Raw genomic sequence first — 21,594 nt, forward strand, 5'->3', positions numbered from 1 at the left:
GATCTAATCCAATTATGATATGACCCACTCTTGGCTGAGCCCAAAGTGGGATCTGCACCATGGGGCAGGGAAAGGACCAGAGATAAAGGCTCAGTTTATGCCACTCCTTCTCAGGCTGATGGTGTTTACTTGCATAGCCATAAAAAGCAGCCACTGGGGACAGTGGGAGAGTGTGGTAAAGCTGGACATATTGCATTAGCTTGCTAATCACTATTAGCAGCAGTGAGAATGGGACATTTCCTTAGACTCCCCGGATTTGGACAGCAACAGCAGGTTCTGGGGCCACAGTGGTGGTACAACAGAGCTCCCCTGAGCCGCCAGTGTCCAGAATGTGAAGTCCTCTAGCCTAGGGGGAACATAGCTTCTCCTACTAGGAACTGATAAGGAGGAGCCACAGCTCAGCAATGGGAAGGGTAGACTTCTTTCTCATCTTGGCATGGGCTTCCCTGGTTGAAACACCAGCTGGTGAAGCATGACATACTGGTTTGAGTTAGTTTTATTTTATCTTTAAGAGGACTTTTAACTGGACCATCACCCCCAGGAAATGTTTCATGTAAAGAATAGCCAAGAAGGCCATAGATTCCATCCCACCAATGACACACAGCAACTGACCATTCACCCCCATATCCTGCACTGGATTTTCCATATGGCCAACTCAAGTACACATATTGCTTTACCAAGTGATGCTCATCTTTGCCTGCAATTACCACCGTGATTACATTTCTCCTCATTAGCCTAGATGGGAGGGTGCAGGGAAGGATGGTTGGATCAGGAGATCTAGTTACCATACTCCGACGCTGAATTTGCTGGGTGGCTCTGCTCAAGTCAGTTGACCCATCTGTGCCTCCTCTCGTGGCCCTTGTTCAGATATGCAGTGATTCCATGACTGATTTTCAGTGTTGGTCTCAAGCATGTAGCTGCCACTTGGTGCAGAGCATTAGCATATCTTTGTAATTGCTAATGAGGGAAACAAAATTCCAGAAAAGCTGTTTGGAGGAACCTAAGAATAACACTATGAGCTAAGCATTCTGCCCAAACAAATTTTGTTAAAAGAAAACCAAATTATTATCCTTTTGCAAAATAATAGCAATAATGGCCTTAACTAACATTTGCCAGGCTCTAAATATGTATCTTGCGGTGTCTAAATATTTTACACATTGTTTTCATTCCCTCCTGTTCACCCCATTGGTGAGGGAGACATTCCACACTAGAATTATGAGGATGACCAAACACATTACACTCGATGCTTAACAGATGCGATTGACGGCAGTTATTATTCACATACACTCGCAGCTTGGGAGAGGTGAACACAGCATGGGATGCTGGCCATACAGGGGTTGCCCTCAGGAGCAGGGTGAACAGGCAGGGGCTGTGGGTGGCAAGCTTTGTAGCAACAAGAGGGTGAGGTGCTCCCTGGTTCCTGCAGGAGAATGTGATGGGCTTTGAACAATTCCGAGGTTAGCAGGAAACTGATACCCACTACTCAGGGATAAGTAGGAGCTGTGCCTGGTCCACTTGATAAGGTGGGTTGCTTGACTGGAGCCTTATCTGCAAGAGTAGAATGGAGAGAGGCTCTTGTGGGTAGGTCAGTAGAGGTACTGCTGATTTGACCAGATTTGAAGGCAGCACACTATACCACGCCTCAATTTCAGCCTTTACATGACACACACATCGTATTATTTCATCATCGCAACACTCCTATGAAATATCATTAAGCCTTTTTACAGATCATGAAATTGAGGCTTAAATGAGGCCAAGCAAATTGCCCAGTGTTTGCTAGCTGGCAAGTGGCTGAGCTGGTATTCAAAGCCAGGTTTGTTACTCTCAGAGTCTGACCTCATAAGCAACTGTGGACAGGTAGATGTAACAACCCATCTTAGACATGAATCAAGAAAAAAGAAGGACAAGGGGGGAACACCCTACCCCAAATAACCAGAGAGCTCAACTTAAACACACACAGTCTTTTGTTCTGTCCACCATGTGACCTCCTGAGTCCCACCGCTACCTTCCGCAAGGCAGCTGGGTTAATAAAGCCACCTCAGTGACCATTAACAGCAGCAGCTCTGCCTCACACTTTAATCAGTGGTCCCTGAAGTGCTTACAAGCCCAGCTGCTCGGGACACACTTTTGATTCTACAGCCTGGAGGAAGAGAAACCATCCAAGCAGATCAACCATTTCCCAGGTGCTTCAAATTCCCAAGGTCAGAGACGGCACCAGTCAGTCATCCTTTTGCATGTGGATGTTGGGTATGTCAAAGGGACTTGATGTTCTGGAATAAATTCCTTTACACAGAAAAGAGGCTTTAGATCTCTTTCAGTCCAAAACCTTCATTTTATGGTTAAAGAAAGTAAAGTGGCCTCCCCAAGGTCACAAAGTTGGTTAGGGCAGAACCTGCTTGGATCCCTTCCCTAAACCCTTTCCCAACTTCCTCCTCCCATGCACACCTCCCACTCTCAAGTGGAAGAAAGGAGAAACTCTCTTCCTCAGCACCCTTTGCAGTTAGGCTGACCATGTGACCCGTTCCAGGCTTTGTGCCAAGAGGGAATCTGCCAGGAGGAGTCTGGGAGCAGTGTTTCCTCCCTGATAGAAAGAAAGAATGGCCGGGCGCGGTGGCTCACGCCTGTAATCCCAGCACTTTGGGAGGCCAAGGCGGGCGGATCACCAGGTCAGAAGATTGAGACCATCCTGGCTAACATGGTGAAACCCCATCTCTACTAAAAATATAAAAAAATTCGCTGGGTGTGGTGGCAGGCACCTGTTGTCCCAGCTACTCGGGAGGCTGAGGCAGGAGAATGGTGTGAACCCAGGAGGCAGAGCTTGCAGTGAGCAGAGATCACGCCACTACACTCCAGCCTGGGCGAGAGAGCGAGACTCCGTCTCAAAAAAAAAATAAAATAAGATAAAAATAAAATAAATAAATAAATAAATAAAATTTAAAAAAAAGAAAGAAAGAAAGAAAGAAAGCATGGCGAAAGAGCTCTCTCACCATCCTCTCCAACCTCTACCTCCTATAAGAGCCAGTGAAGGACCTGAGGCTTGAAACCAGAGGTGTCTTTTAGCCATGAGGGAAAGTTCAGAGATGCGGACACAGCAACTCAGCCTCATGTGGCTGCTAAATCAACCCCCAAACTGCCCTTCCTGACTCCTCATTTCAGTAACAATTAATCCAAGTTTAAACCACTGTTAGTCATGTTTTCTCTTTGCAGCCAAACACCCTCCTCTGAGCAGCAGTCACTAGAGTTAGGCAGTGGGTGAATACCCAGAAATGTCACTCACTAGCAACCAGACCCAGGGCAAGAAACTTTTCTCTGTCTCAGTTTCCTTTTTTGGAAAATGGGCATATATTTTTACAGAGGTGCTGTAAAGTAGTGCTCCCCAACCTTTTTGGAACCAGGGACTGGTTTCGTGGAAGACAATTTTCCCATGGACCAGGGGTGTGGGGGTGGGGGAAGGTTTCAGGATGACTCAAGTGCATTACTTTTATTGTTCACTTTATTCCTATTATTACATTGTAATATATAATGAAATAATTATACAACTCACCAAAATGTAGAATCAGTGGGAGCCCTGAGCTTGTTTTCCTACAACTAGTCAGTCACACCTGGGGGTGATGGGAGACAGTGACAGATCCTAAGGCATAAGATTCTCATAAGCAGCATGCAACCTAGACCCCTTCCATGTGCAGTTCTAAATAGAGTTTGCTATGAGAATCTAATGCCGCCACTGATTTGACAGCAGGTGGAGCTCAGGCAGTAATGTGAGCAAGGGGGTGGGGGACGACTGTAAATAGAGATAAAGCTTCCCTCGCTCACCCATCATTCACCTCCTCCTGTGTGGCCCGGTTACTAAGAGTCCAGGACTGGTACCCATCTGTGGCCCGGCAGGGGGGAGTGGTTGGGGACCCCTGCTGTAAAGCTTAAATATTTATAAAGATTGTATAATATTTTCTAGCTCACAATTGACTGTTAGCTATTATTATTTCATTATTCTCTCAGCCTACTTTCACAGAGGCTCTCCAACACAGAGCTCCTCAAAACTTTTGACAATACAGATGAATTACCTGGCAATTGTGTTTAAATTCAATTTCTGATTCAAAAAGTCTGCCGTGGGCCTAAGACTGCATTTATGAAATCTTTTAGGGTATGTCTGTGCTGCTGGTGCTCAGATCACACTTTGAGAAGCAAGACTGTGGGACCCTCTGGGTCTGTTTCCTGCTAGTTCAGCCTTCTAGCTGGTGGATTTGCACTAATAGTATGCCCCAACCTTCTCGTTATACTCATGGAAGCTCTTTCCTACAGTCAGACTGTCCTTACATCCAGCAGCATATTCATGAAATTCTAATTCCTGGGCTTAGCCAGTGACTCAGACCCTCCTTCTCCAGGTCTAATGGATGTCACTGTCAATCACAATGTCACCCTCAAAGGCCCACGGTCTAGCCTAGTCAGAGGGAACTGGATGTACAGAAAGACAGGTATATGGAAGAAATCTGGGGCTTTTTGAGGATTTCATTCAAAGCAGGATGCAAAGGTTCATATACTTCAGGACTGGAGCCACTTGGGGGCCTTGGTCTCAGGATGATGTATGTTATGATAACCCCCAGGACTAGAATCCATTAATTCCCTTGATCCAGCACTGTGCTCCAGCCCTGGGACAGGCTTAAAGTTTGTCCTGACCCAGTTCATCTCATCTGCCTGCCTGTACTTCTGTCAGCTGCCTGTGCCAGATGTTTTATTCCCCTCCTTCCACTTGTGAAGAAGCTCAAAACCTGCGATGAGCTCTACTTCCTTCCAAGGCCAGTCTTGCCTTCACATACCTCTTCCCCTTCTTCTCCCTGTACTCTCTCCACTGGGTCTCCCCACACTCTTGCCCCCCAGTCCTGTGCTTTGCTCTCCATGTTGCTGAAGTTCACGTTCTTTCCTTCCAGATTGTACCCTCAATTCCTCTCAATCGATTTTGTGTTGCGTGACTACCATACAGTAGGTAATTCATAAAGAAAAGATATTTATAAAATTTATTCTCACAGCTCTGAAGTCTAGGAAGTCCAATGTCAAGGTGCTGGCATCTGGTGAGTGCCTTCATGCTGTGTCATCCCCAGGCAGAGGACAAGAGAGCAAAAGAGAAGGAGATGGCCAAACTTGCTTTTATAACAAACCCACTCTCATGATAACTAACCTACTCCTGCAATAATGACATTATTCTATTCATGATGGTGAAGCCTTCATGGCTTAATCACCTCTTAATGGTCCCACCTCTTAATACCATCACAATGGCCATTACATTTCAACACAAGTTTTGGAAGTGCAGTGTTTTGATTATTTGTCCCCTTCAAAAAGTATGTTGAAAAGTCTCAATGTAGCAGTATTAATAGGTGGGGCCTTTAAGAGGTCAGTGAGTCATGCGGGTTCTGCCTTCATGAGATTAATCCATACATGAATTAATGGATTAATGGGCTATCACAGGAATGAGTCTGTTTAAAAGCCAGCGTGGCTCTCATTTTCACACCCTTGCCATGTGATGTCTTGAGCCATACTGGGATTCTCCAGAGAGTCCCCACCAGCAAGAAGGCCTTCGCCAGATGTGGCCACTCAACCTTGGATTTCCTCAGAACTGTAAGAAATGAATTTATTTTCTTTATAAATTATCCAGTCTCAGTTATTCAATTTTAGCAACAGAAAACAGAGTAAGGCAGGAGGGGGACATTCAAACCACAGCATTCCAACCACGGCCCCCCCAAAACTAATGTTTTTCTGACATACAAAATGCATTCATTCTATCTTGATGCCCCAGAAGTCTTAACTCATTTCAGCATCAACTCAAAAGTCCAAAGCCCAGAGTCCCATCTGAATTAGAAATCGGGGAGACTCAAGGCATGATTCATGCTGAGGCAAATTCCTCTCCAGCTATAAACTGTGAAATTAACAAGCTACATGCTTCCAAAATACAATGGTGGGACAGACATAAGATAGACATTCCCATTCCAAAAGGGAAGAATAAGCAAGAAGAAAGAGATAATCTGCTTTGACTCCATGTCCTGGGCACTCTGGGGCAGGAGTTGGGTTCCCAGGAACTCAGGCATCCTTGCTCCTATGGCTTTGCTGAGTTCAGTCTACCTAGCAGGTCTCACGGGTTGGAGTGTGGCACCAGCAGCTCTCCCAGGTTAATATTTCAAGCTGGTAGCTCTACAGTTCTGGGGTCTCAGAAATGACCCTGGCTCCGCTAGGCACAGCACAGCCCCTGCAGCAGCTCCAACTCCACATTTAGACTCAGCATTGCCCGAATAGAGCTCCCTGTGATGGCTCTGCCTCCATGACAAGTCTTTGCCTGGGCCCCCAGGTAGACTGTGACAGCCTTTAAAATCTAGGTGGAGGTCACTGTGCCCCACAGCTCTTGCATTCTACATGCCTGCAGAATTAGCACCATGTAGATGCTGCCAATGTCTACAGCTTACACCTTTTGGAGCAGTAGATTGAGCCACAACTGGGGCCACTTGAACCACAGCTGGAGCAGTGGAGAATCACTGCACCAGGATGTAAAAACAGAGACCCAATGTGGCCCTGGACAGTGAGCCTGTAGAGGGCATCCAGGCCCATCCCCAAAAACCATTCTGTCCTCTGAGAGCTCTGGACCTGTCATTGAGGGCAGCTTTGAAGATCTCTGAAATGCCTTTGGGGTCATTCTTCCACTGTCTTGATGAGCCCTTCCATCTGTACGAGTCTCCTTACCCAACGGTTTGTTGGCCACACCCTTGGTTTCCTCATGTGAACACATTTTCATTCTGTAAATGGTCAGGCTGAAAATTTAAAAAATTTTTCTGTTCTGCTTTTGTTTTAAATTATAAATTCCATCTTTAAGTCATTTTTCCCCTCTTGGATCTTACTATATGCAGTTAAAAGTAGCTGCACAACTCCTCCAATATTTTGCTTAGAAGTTTCTTCTACTGGATATTCTAGTCGGGCACTCTTAAATTCCACCTTCTGTAAATCCCTTGAGCATGGACACAATTTGACCACGCTCTTTGCCATTTCATAACAAGGATGCTCTTTACTCCAGTGTCCAAAAAGATACCCTCTTTTTCCACCTGAGACCTCATCAGAATGGCCTTTACACTCAGCATTTCTAACAACATTCTGATCATGGCCACTCAAGTAATCTGTAAGAAGTTTCATACTCTCCCTACAGCTCTCCTCTTCTTCTGAGCCCTCTCCAAAATTGTCCTTACTACTCTGTTTATGGAAATGTAGGCTTTTTCTAGCCTACTCTTCCAAATTTTTTCAACCTCTATCGATTGCCCAGTTCCAAAGCTACTTTCACATTTTCAGGTATTTGTTATAGTAACAGCCTCAATTCTCAGTACCAACTTTCTAACCATTTTGTGTTTCTATAAACACAGGTTGGGTAATTTATAAAGAAAAGAAATATATGCTCACAGTTCTGAAGGCTGGGAAGTCCAATATCAAGATGCTGGCATCTGGTAAGGGCCTTTGTGGTGTGTCACCCCCATGGCAGAAGGTGGAAGGCAAGACAGCATGAGAGAGCAAGAGAGCAAGAGGGGGTCAAATTCACTAGTACAAGCAGCCTACTCTCATAAAACTAACCCACTCCGGCAGTAACAACATTATTCAATTCTTGAGGGTGGAGCCCTCGTGGCCTCATCACCTCTAAATACTGTCACACTGGCAATTAAATTTTAACATGAATTTTGGAGGGGACATTCAAACCACAGCACTCTCCAAACCTCTCTTAGCATCTTCTATAAGCCTCTAGTTTACAATATGCCAAATGCCACTATGGCCCCTTGTTTGAAACATGTTTGTCTCCCCAGTCACTGAGCTTTCTGAAGGCAGCAACAGCCTTTCATCCCAGATCCTCTTTCTGGCTGGACCCCTCCCCTGGCTCCACCCCAACCTAACATGCCTTCCAGGCACCTGTGTCACTCTGGAGGCGGAAGAGCACAGGCAATTACCTGTGTGATGTGTTTTTCCATCTTTGTTTCATTGCCTTCATCAACCTTCTGATCAAGGTAGCCAGAAGCTGCTGTATGATCAAGTGAAAAAATAAAATCTCAGAATTATTAATCACTTCTAATGTGCTGGGCACCCTGATAAGAAATTTATGTATGCCAGTTTAATTAATTCTTGCAACTATTATCGCTATTGGATTTCTATCATCTCCACTTTACAGATGCGGAAATGGAAGCTGAGGGCAGGTAATAGGAATATTGCCTGAGGTTCCACAGCCAGGAAGAGAAGCAGTGGAGCCAGGAGCCCAGCCTCTGTTAACTTCTAGCAAAATGGCTCAAGGAAATATCAGCACAAACCTGGTTCTTGGCTGGCTTCTCCTTTTCACCGGTGGACAAACTGGTGGAAAAGTGGAGGGTCCTGTTTAAAAGAGAGTAGTTTAGTTAAATCACTGAGTTTTATTTCCTCCCACCAAACTATGAGTTGTTATGGTAAGATCCCTGAGTCAATGCCAATCTTCTACAGTCCTGGGAGCTTAAATACACTTGGCAAGCAACACCAAGTTATACAGTTTCCAATACTTAGAGGTATCTGTGAATGCAGATCTTAATGCAGTATATTCTTCTGGGGCTGCATTTTCTGTCTGAAACAGAGAATGTATCTTAGATGATGTGCTTAGCATAGAACATGCTTCATCTCAGGACTCAGTTAGGATAACAACAAGGCAGGCACATTGGCCAGTGTCAAGTGTGAAGGTCCAATTTAGGCCCTTACTGTGTTGAAGGCCGCTGGGCAGATGCCAGGACAGACACAGAGGCCAGGCTCCAGCACAGCGTCAGGGGAAGTCCATGCCAGGGTGTACTTGATCTGATCTCCCACATAACATAAATGATCCTAGAGACGAAGGTCCTGCCAAGAGATCTCCAGGTGACTCCAGGAGTCCTTGAGGCTGTGAATCTTTGCACCATACTTTAAATTTCTACAAAGCCCCAAATGCCTGTCGCCTCCTCAGCTCCTTTTGTAAAGGAACATGGGTAAACCATGGACCATTAAGAGTAGACAAAGTTTTGCCAAGTCCTTGGTGCTATGTAGGGAAGAGCTTCTCAGAATGTTCTACTGGGTCCCTCTAGCTGTGGAGTAGGGCAAATGAGCACCGGGGGTCTGGAGGGATAACCCGAAGCAGCCCCATAACTTGCATGGAATGTTTTTGAAGTCTTGTATTTATCTTAATAATTCATGAGAATTTTACATTTCTTTCCATGCTATACCCATGTCTATTTTATATTAAATGTAGCATTAATAATTGCCCGAAACCTGAAAAAAATGGTGCCCCAGAAAGCTGTACCCACAGTTCTCCTGTAGCTGCCCTGGGGGAACATAGGCCCCAGTTCAAAAGCACCGATGTATGGCATTAATCTCACTGATTATTCTAGAACCTTCTCTGGCCCACACTTAGAAAAACCACAGGCAGCCAGGGGCTTGAACCTAAGCAACATGCACACAAGTTCAGACCCAACAAAGGGAAGAATTTCCAGGAGAGATTTGTGCATAGGCTCAAGAAGCCTTTTAGAAAATGAACAAACAAAATATCTCATCATAAGTCAGGGACACCTAATATTTTGGATTCTCTGAACACTGATGTAGTCTACAGAGATCCTCCTCAGAAAAAAAAAAAAAAAACCACAAAACATTTCTTAGGTCTGTGTGTCCTTTAGAGATTTCTAGCGACCTGAGACCATCTGTGGGTCCCTAAGAATATAAAGATTCCCACTGAGATCCTTTGTGCAAAGGTCCCTTGTAGAGGGCATATGTTTTCTTTAAATGTTTTGAGCCAACGTCTAAACATTGAGAAAGTTCACACTGTTGTCTGGATCCTGGAGACTTGACAGCTTTGGACCTACATGATCTCATGGCTCCATGGAGGGGAGGAGCTGCCGCTGCCCCTGCAGCTGGGATTCCCTGTCCCCTCTGCCACACCACCCCCATTCCTCCTTCACAGAACCCGCCGGCCCCTGTGGCCGCTGAACTGGTGACTTGTCATGCCATTAGGTCATCGTCGGGGACATCAGGCCCTGACAGTGGCCAAGAGCCATCTGGAGTCCATGCTAGTCATCACGTGCCCCAGCTGACCTTCCACCCAGACCTGCTGCAGGGCTGTGGCTGGAGAAAAGCTGGGTCAAAGAAGCGGAAGAATCTACAGATACATCCAGTACTAGGAGCATTGGTTGCAGTGGAGGAGTTCAATTCCCCATATGGGGAATATTCTCCCCACTCCACTTGGAATGGAGCCATGAGGGTGAGTGGAGAGTCAGAGTCTGCCGCAGCCTTGGGGCAGAAACAGCTTCCCAGACAACATCGGCACCTTCCCTTGGGACGGTGGTGGCTGCAGCAACAAATTAACACAAATAGGGTGACTTAAAACAACAGAAATGTATTGTCTCACAGTTCTAGAGGCCAGCAATCTGAAGTCAAAGGGTCCACAGGGCCATGGCACCCTCTGGAGACTCAAGAGGAGAATCTGCCATTTGCCGCCTCCAGCTTCTGGTCTCTCCAGGCATCCACTGGCTTGCGGCTGTGTCACTCCAATCTCTTCTTTCTGTCTGTGTTTTCTCTTTTGTCTCTTCTGAAGACTCCTGTCATTGGATTTGGGGCCCACCTAATCAATCCAGGATGATCTCATCTGCAGATCCTTCCCTTAATTATATCTGAAAAGATGTTTTTTTTCCAGATGAAGTCACATTCACAGGTACTCGGGATTAGGACTCGGACGTATCTTTTGGGGGTCACCATTCAACCCACTACCCAGCTTCTTAGCCACTGGCATACGTCATAGGCAACAGCAGCCCCTAATAACAAGTATCAGTCATGGTGGTGGCTTTGCCAGTGTTCATGGTAAAAAGTGCCCTCCATGAGCCAGACCTGAGTGGGGAGGAGAATACAGAACCACATCGCAACTTGACTTGGATGCCCTTGGTAATGAGCATGAGAGCCCAACCGGAGGACACCAAGAGGTCTCTGGGAGAGATGGAGGCACATGAAAGAGGTCCTGGAAGAGTCAGTAGGGGCTGAGCCTGATTTTTTTTTAACATGCTGTGACCTATTTGCACCCCAAGGCTGCTGAGGCCTGGGGAAGTGCTTAATTTGCACAGCTGCATCCTCATGAGAGCCCTGGTCTCATCTGAGTCCACCTGCCCATGCCCCAAATCCAAACCAGTGTGTTCCACTCTCATGCTCTGCCAACCAGTATGAGGTGAGCCATCCAACACTCACTGAGCATTTCCCGTGTGAAGTTCCCATGCTGGGGTACCCCTCTCCCTAGAGCTCTAGATGGAGAGACAGAGAGGCATTCTCCAATCACCTGGGAAAAGTCAGTTAGGTGTGGATGCCAGAGGTTTTCATCGTCCTATTCCTGTCCCTTATTTAAAAAGTGAGTGGGCTCTGTGTTCACTGTCCCCTGGTGGGATGCAGTAGAAATAAAGGCAGAAATTGCCCAGCTTTGGTCTTCTGGAAGTCTAAGCCCCTGGGGGATTTCAGAGAATCTACTGAGCTGGCAAAATAAAAGGGCTTAGGGGTATGTATTAGCCCATTATTGCTATAAAGAACTACCTGAAACTGGGTAATTGATTAAGAAAAGAGGTTTAATTGATTCAGTTCTGCAGGCTTAACAGGAAGCATGACTGGGAGGCCTCAAGAAACTTACAATCATGGCGGAAGGTGAAGGGGAAGCACGTTTTACCATAGTGGAGCAGGAGGGAGAGAGAGACAAGGGGAAAGTGCCACACACTTTTAAATGATCAGATCTCATGAGAACTCACTATCACGAGAACAACAAAAGGGGAAGTCCACCCCCCATGAGCCAATCACCTCCCACCAGGTCCCTCTCTCAACACTGGAGATTACAACTCAACATGAGATTTGGATGGGGACACAGAACCAAATCAGATCAGAGTAGAAACAAAAAATACTGGACCAATAAACAGAAGGAACATTTCCCCAGATCAGGCAATTTTCCCCAGGTCAGGGAGATATTCTCCTGGGGTGTGGGGAGGAGACTGGGATAGCTCAGCAAGGTCCCAGGAAGGCGGCAGCTGCCTGGTCCTCTTAGGTACTTGAGAAAGGTATCTTCACCCCAAATGGGGCTTTGAACCTCAGGCCTAATTGCCCCAAGGGCCAGTCAATGGACTGTAATGTATATAGACTGATGATGAGGCCCAATGAGGACCAGAGGATCCACTCCTGCCCCCACCCCACTCAGCAGTTCCACAACCTACATATGTCCCTGAGACCATGATCTGGTCACAGAGTAAGGAAAGTGCCTTGGTTTGCTAGGGCTGCCCCAACAATTCCACAGACTGGGTGGCTTCAACAACAGACTTTTTTTTTTGTAGCACTTCTAGAGGTCAGAAGTCCAAGATCAAGGTGTCACTTGGCTATTTCTGAGGCCTCTCTCCTTGGCTTGTGGATGACTGTCTTCTGCCTGTGTCTTCACATGGGCTTCTCTCTGTGCCTGTCTGTGTCCTAATATCCTCATTACAACACTGATCATATGGATTTAGGGCCCACTCTAATGATCTCATAGTAACTTAATTGCCTCTTTAGTGGTCCTGTCTCCAAATACCATCACATTCGGAGGTACTGGAAGTTAGAACTTCAACAGAAGAATTTTAGGAGTCCGAATTCAGCCCTTTACAAAGAGGAACTTTCAGGAAATGATCCAGCTTGGTGAAGAAATGGTTCTCTTGAAATAAAATTTAAGTAAATAAAAAACACAGATTTCTCTTTTGTACACACCTCGGGATGTGGACTGATTCATGCCTACTGGCCCCCACAGGTGCCTTTTCCCCAGGCAGGAAGGTACAGATCCTGGGAGGGGCATGATTGTGTTTTTGTTTTTTATTTTTTAAAGGAAATCTCCAGGTGATTTTCAGTCCCTCCCACAGAGGCCCACTGCTGTGCCAAGTGGGCACAGGGCAAATCCCAAAGCTCTTGCTCAGTTATAAGACAAATAGTCAGTAGGTGCCTTCTATAGGCGAAGCGTTGTGCAAGGCACCTGGAGGAAAACTAAAGTATGTGGCCTGCCCTTACCTGTTATATACAGCAAGGCGCTCGGTCAAAGCAAAGAAAGCCCAAAGGCATTCCCAAGCTTGGTGCTCCAGACCTCCCTGTGCACTCACATGCCTGCGCTCTTTACTCTCATCCAGGTTCTTTCTCCCTCCCTAGATCTGCTAAGAAGTGTATATGGATGGGTCACCTTTTCCAAAGAAGGGTGGGAACGTCCTCCCATCAAGGGAAACAAGTGTCCTGTGGTGGCAAGGAATAAGGAGAGTGAGGAATATGACTTTGTGGCAAATGCTTTAACTTGGACGTAAGAGCTAAGTCTGGCATTGCTGCAATTGAATGGATACTATTGTCCCAACTTTGCAGAAGACTCTGCGTATCTTACTTTGGGATCCCCTGAAAGTGGACCTTTGGACAAAGATTTTCTATGCAAGCAGTTTCTTGGGCAGGGATCCAGGAAGCACAGTGAGGGAGAGGGGAACAAGTGCTGGGAAGGGGAGGGGATCAGTAGAGGACACGCTAGTCAGTGGGCTACTGCTGCAGGCGCATGGGGCTCAGTCCCAGTGGGGACTCTGAAGCCTAGGGCCATGAGCTCAAGTAAGCATGCATTGGAATAAGGAGAATGCCCAGACCTTGTAGGATTGTTGGTCATAGAGTCTGAATTGACATTGATAGCTGGGGACATACGGGAGCCAGGTAATACATGGAGTCCTGGCCCAGGTCTAGCTTACAGTGGATTTGTTTGACTCATAGACCACTGAGTGGTTGTTTTCCTAATCACTCAATAGAGAGTTGGAATGAAAATGCTTGGTGGTTGTCAAAAGTCTCACATTGGAACCTTGACCTGTAGCATAAGAGTTTTAATACCGGGGAAAGCCAAATAGAAACCCAACCCCTGTCCTTGGTCAAAATAATTTTTAAAAAAACAAAATGCATCCCCAGGAGAACAATGGAGCTTAGTGGTACCAGCAAAAATTTGAAGAAGGCAAGGGTGGTATCATTGCCATATCCCAATTTAATCTGTTAGGGAAGCAGGAGCCCAGGCGAGCCAAAGTGACACCATTTTTAAATCAATTCCATCTTAAAACTGGCAAGGCATATTTCTTGCCAGTCACGACCCATGGTCCTGAGATGTTTACAGCTAAGGAAGCAGCTTAGTGATGCTACAAGGACACACTCCTACAACAACAAAAAGTCCAGATGTCCCAATACTCATATATGTTTCCAAGATAATTATAGTTACGCTTTGATGTACTTACACACTAAAATGTCAAGGATAGTTTTATTTAAATCAATAGAATAATTTTGTCATGCTGTCAGCCCACCCGTATGTGGGCACAACTTGGTTTAGTCTCTACATAGACAAGACCCCTATATAAAAAATTAAACTTAAAATAAAGATGATACATTCCTCTGCTTGCTTCCTGAGGAATGTAATGGAGTAGTTTCTAATAAACTTGCTTCTTTCACTGTGCTCTGTGACTTGCCTTGAATTCTTTCCTGCATGAGATACAAGAATCCTCTTTTGAGATCTGGATTGGGACCCTATTTTCCAGCAACAAATCCATCAGTCTGGCCACTACAGAAATCAGAGGGTCATGGAGATGACAACGGGCTATCACAAACTCAAGCAAGTAGTAGCATCCATTGTAGCAAGTGTGCCATACGTGGCAAAGAGAGATTAACACAGCCTTTAGAACATGGTGTGCACAGGGGTGCTGCCCTTGACCTGGAAATGTGTACTTTGCCCTATGTATCAGCAAAAAAGACCAGAAGTAGTTCCCCTTCATGTAGGACTGATATAGATTTCTCCTGAGGCCTCTTTCCTTGACTTGCAGACAGCCACCTTTTCACTGTTTCCTTACCTGGTCTTTCCTTCGTGTGCACACATCCTTGGTGCATCTCCCCCTCCTTATAAGGACATCAGTCATACTGGATTAGTGTGCTACTCTTATAACCTCATTTAATCTTAATTACCTCTTTAAAGGCCCTATCTTCAAATACGGTCATATTGGAGGTTAAGGCTTCAACCCATGCATTTGAAAGCGGAGGGACAAAATTTAGTCTGTAAGAGGCACCATGGCACAGATAGACAGAATGACTCAGCCAGCTATGATCAGCCATCTCAATTCTGGCACAAGGAGCTCACAGAGTAGCTAAGGTGACAGAGAAGGAGATTCAGGTTGTGCCTGGACCTAACAGCAAGGGCTCCCTCTCATCAAGGCTGATCTAGCTTTGGCTGCTGCTGCATGTCCAACCCATCAGCAGCAGAGGCCAACAATGACACAGAGACCTGTCTAGCCCAAGTGCGTGCCCCCTCCCAGGGGACGAGTGTCGCCAATGACTGGCTTCTGCATGGGTATGTAGGTCCAGCCCCTTTTCTTCAATTTGGGAAAACTCTGATGGATCATTCCGGTTATGGAGCTCCTGTGGAAGCAACTGAGGTCTCAGTCATAGCACCATCACAGGTCAGCTTCTCTCTCTGCCCAGTTCTGCCATCCTCACTCCCTTACATGTGTATCTCCCAAGAACACTCCCCAATAAACGTCAGCACTCAGCTCTCAGAGTCTGCTTTCAAAGGACCTATGATAAGACAGTAACCTTTCTAAAACTGATCTGAGAATGAGCCTGCATTCAGAATATACTTTCCCCACTGTAGAACACTGGTGCCCCTCATCTACTTTAAATATTTCTGTGGCTTATTACCCTAGTTGAAATACACACCTGGCATTCTACAAAAGGAATCGAAGTATTGTCTCAAAAGACTATCTTCATAATTAATCAAGGCCCACTGAGCCATAGGGCCTCCAGCCTTTCCCTAACTGAGGGATACTTCTGCTAATGGTGAAGCTTGGTGTTAAAAATAATGTTTAGACCTGTTTTGTGATATTCTGAATGTAGAACAGCCAAAGCCATTTAGATTAGTGTCATTTGTTCTCATAAATGTGAATAAAATGCTTTGTGGGACTACCAAATTCTTTAAAACACGTTACATAAAATGTGCAGATAATCTTAAGAGATTCCTTTTAGAGTTGGTGTGTTTCATTCAATAAACTTGTTTTATCAAATCACATAACATTTATTTAATTGTCACCAATCATTCTTTTATTTCATCATATAGAGTATTGCATATTTGTCTTATTTATTTTTTTTTTTACCAAGAAATGAACTTTCTAAAACTTATGAAAACATTTGGACGGTAGCTTACAAAAATACACAGTGATAGATAGATTTTTCCTTATTCTCTTAAGGTGTATGTGGAAAATAAAGTACAAAGATCAATGGAGAAACTAATATCCTCCTGCCTGCCCATGTTTTCAAGCAATTAATAAATAAGAGAAAAGAAGAAGCAAAGAGACAACAAAAATATATAATGACATCCCTTCACATGGGGTGGGGGAGAAGCACCACCTCCTCTCCAACAGGATACCCACACCTTCCAGATTATCTGGGTAGACCTCAAATTCCAATACTCTGATCTGCCATCCTCAGAAGATCACGTAGGACTGTCAGATACCTTGTTCTCTTTGGGGAAAGGGTATAGAACACAGAGTCCCAGTAATCACACACCTTCTTACCCAGCCTACAATGGCTTCAGAGCACAGAGGCTGCAGTGCCCTTGGCTTCCTGACCAGGCGCTCCTGGTTGGCCTTCCCCCAGCACTTCCCAGCAGACCTGGTTCCTGGTAGTGACGCCTTTGCTTTTCTTCCAGGTCTATTTTTGTCCAGAGTCGCCAATTCCCCACCACAAGTCTCCGTTCTTTTCCCCCAAGGACCTTCATTGGTTTCCCTAAAGGGGTTTTCCCTTGCCCAATCCTGGTGCCTTTGAGTCACAGCCGGCATCCTTGCCAGGGGGCCACCAGCCCATTCTGCTAGCTGACCAACAATCCTGTTTTTGGGTCTAAGGAAAAGTGTCTCATGTGATCATCAGAGCTTGAGCCAGAGGACATATATGGGCAGGGCTTAGACCAAGGGCCAAAGGCAACAGGCCCCAAGTGAGGGCAGAGATGTGAAGTCATAGATAGTCACTGCTGCTCCAGGCACCCACCTGGGAGAGCCTGCATTGCCCCATGAGTGACCAAGTGGTCCCATTCCTCTGGATATAGCAAAATTAAGAACCTTAGCCATGAAGAGGTCAGGAGGCTTAAAGGGACATTTCTGAAGTTGGGGCCTTTGCACTTGAAGTTATCCAAGTAGTTGAGCATTAGACGTCTTCCTCTTAAACCTTGTACGCTCTCCACCAAAAGGTTTGAAGCCTGGTAAAACTCTTGAAAAAATGCACACCATTGTGGTAGCCATGTCTTCAATTAGCCCCTATCCATAGAGCAACATTTTAGCTCAGTGACTGCAAAGACACCCTCTCTTCTTATTTTATCCCTAATGCTTAGGTTGCTGCTGGCTAATACTTAGTATTAAATAATTTATTTAATACTAAGAAGAATTAAATAAATATTGATGGCATGAATGATCATTCTGACTTGAAAGGGCATTTATTGAACTTTTTAGTCCACCAAACACCATAAGCCCTTGATTTTTATTTCTTCTGCTCTAATTTCTCAGAGCTTGTAGATATTTCCTAGCAGGTCATCGTTGCCACCTGGGCAAGACAGGAAGGCTACCCTCATCCCACTCACTTGTTCTCCTTTTGATCATATACTCTCATGTTCGCCAATGCATCAAATTGGTGACCTTCTTCTAATCACAGACAAGTACAATAAGATTGGAAGGTGTCATGTTTTGGCAGGTGAACCTGTTTCTATAAGGATCCTGAAAAGACCAAGGTATATTTATTACCCTCAGTTTCTTTCCTTGACTTGCTCTTTGCACTCTGATGGGCCAGCCTTGGAATATCTCCAAGAGCAGCTGTTGGCAGGTCTTTCACCCCAGGAAAAAATTATCAGCTCTGTATTACTCAAGTTGTCTCTAAAGATGTTGGTCATTAGCCACTTCACTCTCTCTCGCCTGCTTGTGAAATATGGGTTGGATTCCTTCTGACATGTTACATCCCCAGTTGATCTCCTAAAGCAAATAGGAATTTATGGAGACATTCAACCCAGGAGTTTATGACCTGGCTGGGAGGGAAAATCTCCTGCACAAACATCTTCTCTAATTTTTTTGTATCTTTCCCATCTCAACATTCCCACTTCCCAAAGACTCTAATGAAACAGAAGCACAGTTTTTGATTGAGCACCCAGTCTGTCTACTATAATACTCTCTGGATCCCTTGTTACCAATATATTTATAATCCTATTTCTAACTAAGGAGTTTAGTTATAAGCTAAACTCCAGCATTTCCTCAGGAGGTGCTGGCCTCATAAATGTCCTGCAAGCAAGGAAAGTAGATCTTCCAGGAATGGCAGGAATCACGAGAAGACTGAAGGGTCAGCTCTTTAATTGGACCACCTCAATCGTTTGGGCTGTTAAACAATATTTTTGCTCAGTCTTTCCCACATTATAGTAATTAAATAGTTCCTTCCACATCCTCAACAAAGTCAAACACAGCAGCTTCACTGGGTGAAAAAGACCACTCTTGATTTGGGTGAAAAATGTTCTTTCCCACCCGTGAGGAAGGCCAAGCAGCGAATCCTCCCACTGCTGAGATTAGAGCAGTTATTTCTGCTAACACTGCCATCCCTTCTCTCTCCAGAACACTTTCTCTGTTATCAAGTTGAGCAAAGCAAGGAAAAAGTAAGCTGGTCAAATGTTTACTTGGTTGGTGAGCGTTGATAAAATGTTGGCCTCTGTGTGGTTCTGGATGAGACATGCACCCCCTGACCCAGCCAGCCCTGGGCTACAATGAGAACGAAGGAGCAGGTGATAGCTCTTAAACAACCAGCCAGTCCCAGGTTTTCAGCCCAGTGTTTGTTCACTTATCCCAGACGCTTGACTCACGAGGGACCGTGTTTATACTGGCTCTGTCCCAGGGTCACTTTGGTTGAGTGGTATCCATTGGTGTGGCTCCTACAGCAAAAGACCAAGTCCTGATGCCAAGAGAGATTAGGAGTTTGCAACGGGAAAGAAGAGGAATAAACAAAAAAGAGTGGCTCCAAGTCAAGTAAGTTGCTGAGCTGACTTGAGCTTGTTTCTACTTGTGGGAAACTAAAATCAATCTCTGGTCTGGTTGAAATAATCTTCAGACTGTCTGAACACCATAGTTGGTGGCACAGATTTACAGACATCTCAGCAGATTGGAGTGCAGAAGAGCAGAGAGTAAGTGGGTTATGAGCCAGCTTAAAGCTTCACTCAATGGAAACTGGAGCCCCGTCTTTCCAGAGAGGCAAAAAATGAATAATAATAATTGTGATGACGATGATGATGATGAGACATTAAATAAACCTCCTTGGAGCTTTTTGCTGACTTCTTCTGCTGGTGCCTGCACTTTCTGCCTCCCTAGAGGTTCCAACAAACCTTCTGACTCTAAAAGGAAACCCTTCTGAGACCAAAAGGATAGCCAATTATCTCAAGTTTTACAGCATAAATAATCTAATTGGATACTAAGAGGAGTCCAGATATTTGCACAAAAATTAAACCGTCACACAGAAGGGTGTTATACCCCTGCCTGGCCTCCTTCTTCCTAAAAGCCTGGAGAGTGAACAGACTTGAGTGTTGAACGACCCCCATTTCCTCCTGCTCTACCATGAGTGGGCACCATGGCCTCAGGCATGGGACCAACCTCTCCATATCCTCTCAGTTTGAGGAGGGAGGTGCTATCCACTGTGCCTCCCTTGATAGGAGAAATCAAGCATGCATTGAAGCCCTTGACAAAGAAAAAATTGCTGAACAGAAGCAAGGTCTGCAGGACATGGGTCCTATTGCTGCTGGGCATTTTGCAAGGATAAATATTACATAGTCACTCAGTTTGGTAGGAAGTTTGCTCACAAGAATTGGAACTGGAGGGGCTGGAAAATAAAAACTCCAATGGAAAAGGCTAAATTCCTTTTATCTTCATTCTTTATTGTTAACTACTTAAGCCACATAATCCCCTCAGTGTCAGGTATCCCAGGCCAAGAATCCTATATACCCAGGCACATCGCCACCCCTGCACCACCAGGCCACATAATACTAGAAATTCATTCAGAAAAACTCTTTCCAGATTGATTAATTGGTGATTGAATAAGTGAGGGAAGGAATAGGGGAAAGGGCAGAATCAGAAAATGAGAAGCGAACGCAGGAAGACAAAATTAGCGTGGCAGGTACAATGGCACCTGCCCAGATCCCCTCTCTATGGACAGATGGCCGCAGCTGCCAGGAGGGCCATTATACCCTTCAGAAGTGGCTGCAGTTGCAGAGAGATGCCTGACTAGGGCATCCCACAACTGACAGATCCAGGCAGGTGTATAAAGGTACCACTGGGTCATTTTAACCCAATGCTGAACAATGCTGCTAAGCCATTTTAGCTCCTGAGCTTCCCTGGCATCCGCTGAGGCTGTCTCCTCTGCATCACTGCTCAGCTCCCACCTCTGTCCACTCAAACTTTTCTTGTCCTCACTTCCACTGGTGTCGATCTCAAGGGCACCAAATATCCTATCCCTTAAAATCCATTAACAAATATCCTATCCCTTAAAATGCATCTCAGAATCTGCCTCCAGAGAACACGACTGTGACCACTAGGAAATGTAGCCAATGGAAATTCTCAAAGACTAAGAGGAGAATGAAGAAGGCAGGGGACACACTCATCTTCTTTGTGCTGTCATTGCCATTCCTTGTCTGGGTGTCTGCTTCAGCAAGGCACTGGAGCACAGTGACAAAGAAACATGTGTTAGGTTCCTGGGACCTCTTTCTCACCTTAGTTTTGTCACTCACGAGCTGTGTGGTCATGGATAAGTCAATGTCTCAGGGCCTCTTTTTGCAAGTTAAGAAACAAGGACAATAATGATCCTACCTGACATTTGAGTCATCATGAGGATCTCCTACGACCGTGGATGCCAGTGTGCACGGGAGATGGTAACACCCCATCTGCTAGTGACATTTCCCCCTTCTCCAGCCAAAGCTTGGAAAGACAGCAGGACCTTGAAAATGGCAGCCAGAAAGGCAGCCATTTCCACCCTGAGCTTCAATCCCCAGGCTGAGGAAGTCCTTGCAGGGAGGAGTTAGCTGCTAGAAGTCATGGGAGAGGGGAGGGTACTATCTCATTAAACTCTCACCCATAGATCATATTGAACACCTGCTACCTATGTGTTAAACTCCAGGCCAGTCCACACACATAGGGAGATGGAAATTAACTAAACCTGCAAACAAATAAAAACCTCCCACAGGGAATAAGCCAAGTAACAGGAGTTACAGAAGGCCTCCCTGAGGAAGTCACACTTGAAATGAGAACTGAATGACGAGAAGGAGGTATGTCGACAAAGGAGGAAGGGAAGGTGATTGCAATCTGAGATGAATATGAGTCCCAAGAAGTCCTCATGGTCAGGGGAGCAGAGAGCAGAAGGCCTGGAACACGAGGGTGAAGCTGGGAGAAGTTGGGAGGCAAGAGCTGAAAACGGGCTGGGGAGAGGATGAGGGCCAAGTTGAGCAAGTCCTGGCAGGTCAAAGACTATTAGCTTTATCCTGAATACAACGGGGAGTTGTGGAAGGGC

General features: G+C 45.5%; 1 long non-coding RNA gene across 1 annotated transcript, besides 2 other annotated features; it reads right to left on the reverse strand.

Moving 5' to 3' along the window:
- Positions 1 to 1,361: 1,361 nt before the first annotated feature.
- LINC01423 (long intergenic non-protein coding RNA 1423) lies at positions 1,362 to 21,079 on the reverse strand. Its single transcript, NR_110545.1, has 6 exons — positions 20,898 to 21,079; positions 8,319 to 8,379; positions 7,965 to 8,035; positions 7,429 to 7,480; positions 6,724 to 6,791; positions 1,362 to 1,548 (listed from the first exon to the last, which is right to left on the reverse strand). It is a non-coding gene; the product is annotated as a long intergenic non-protein coding RNA 1423 (long non-coding RNA).
- Positions 7,707 to 8,906: an enhancer, noted in NCBI's record as "CDK7 strongly-dependent group 2 enhancer chr21:39704626-39705825 (GRCh37/hg19 assembly coordinates)". NCBI's record gives its function as "activates an origin of replication core promoter dependent on BRD2, BRD4, P300/CBP, MED14 and CDK7 cofactors, with strong dependence on CDK7, by STARR-seq in HCT116 cells {active_cell/tissue: HCT116}" and the evidence as "EXISTENCE:reporter gene assay evidence [ECO:0000049][PMID:35650434]".
- Positions 10,009 to 10,178: an enhancer, noted in NCBI's record as "experimental_62068 CRE fragment used in MPRA reporter constructs". NCBI's record gives its function as "activates a minimal promoter by MPRAs in K562 erythroleukemia cells, with activity observed for both the introgressed and non-introgressed 21:39707013 variant alleles {active_cell/tissue: K562}" and the evidence as "EXISTENCE:reporter gene assay evidence [ECO:0000049][PMID:34662402]".
- Positions 21,080 to 21,594: the final 515 nt, after the last annotated feature.

Source organism: Homo sapiens, chromosome 21 (assembly GCF_000001405.40).
Source record: "Homo sapiens chromosome 21, GRCh38.p14 Primary Assembly".
Taxonomy (NCBI): domain Eukaryota; kingdom Metazoa; phylum Chordata; class Mammalia; order Primates; family Hominidae; genus Homo; species Homo sapiens.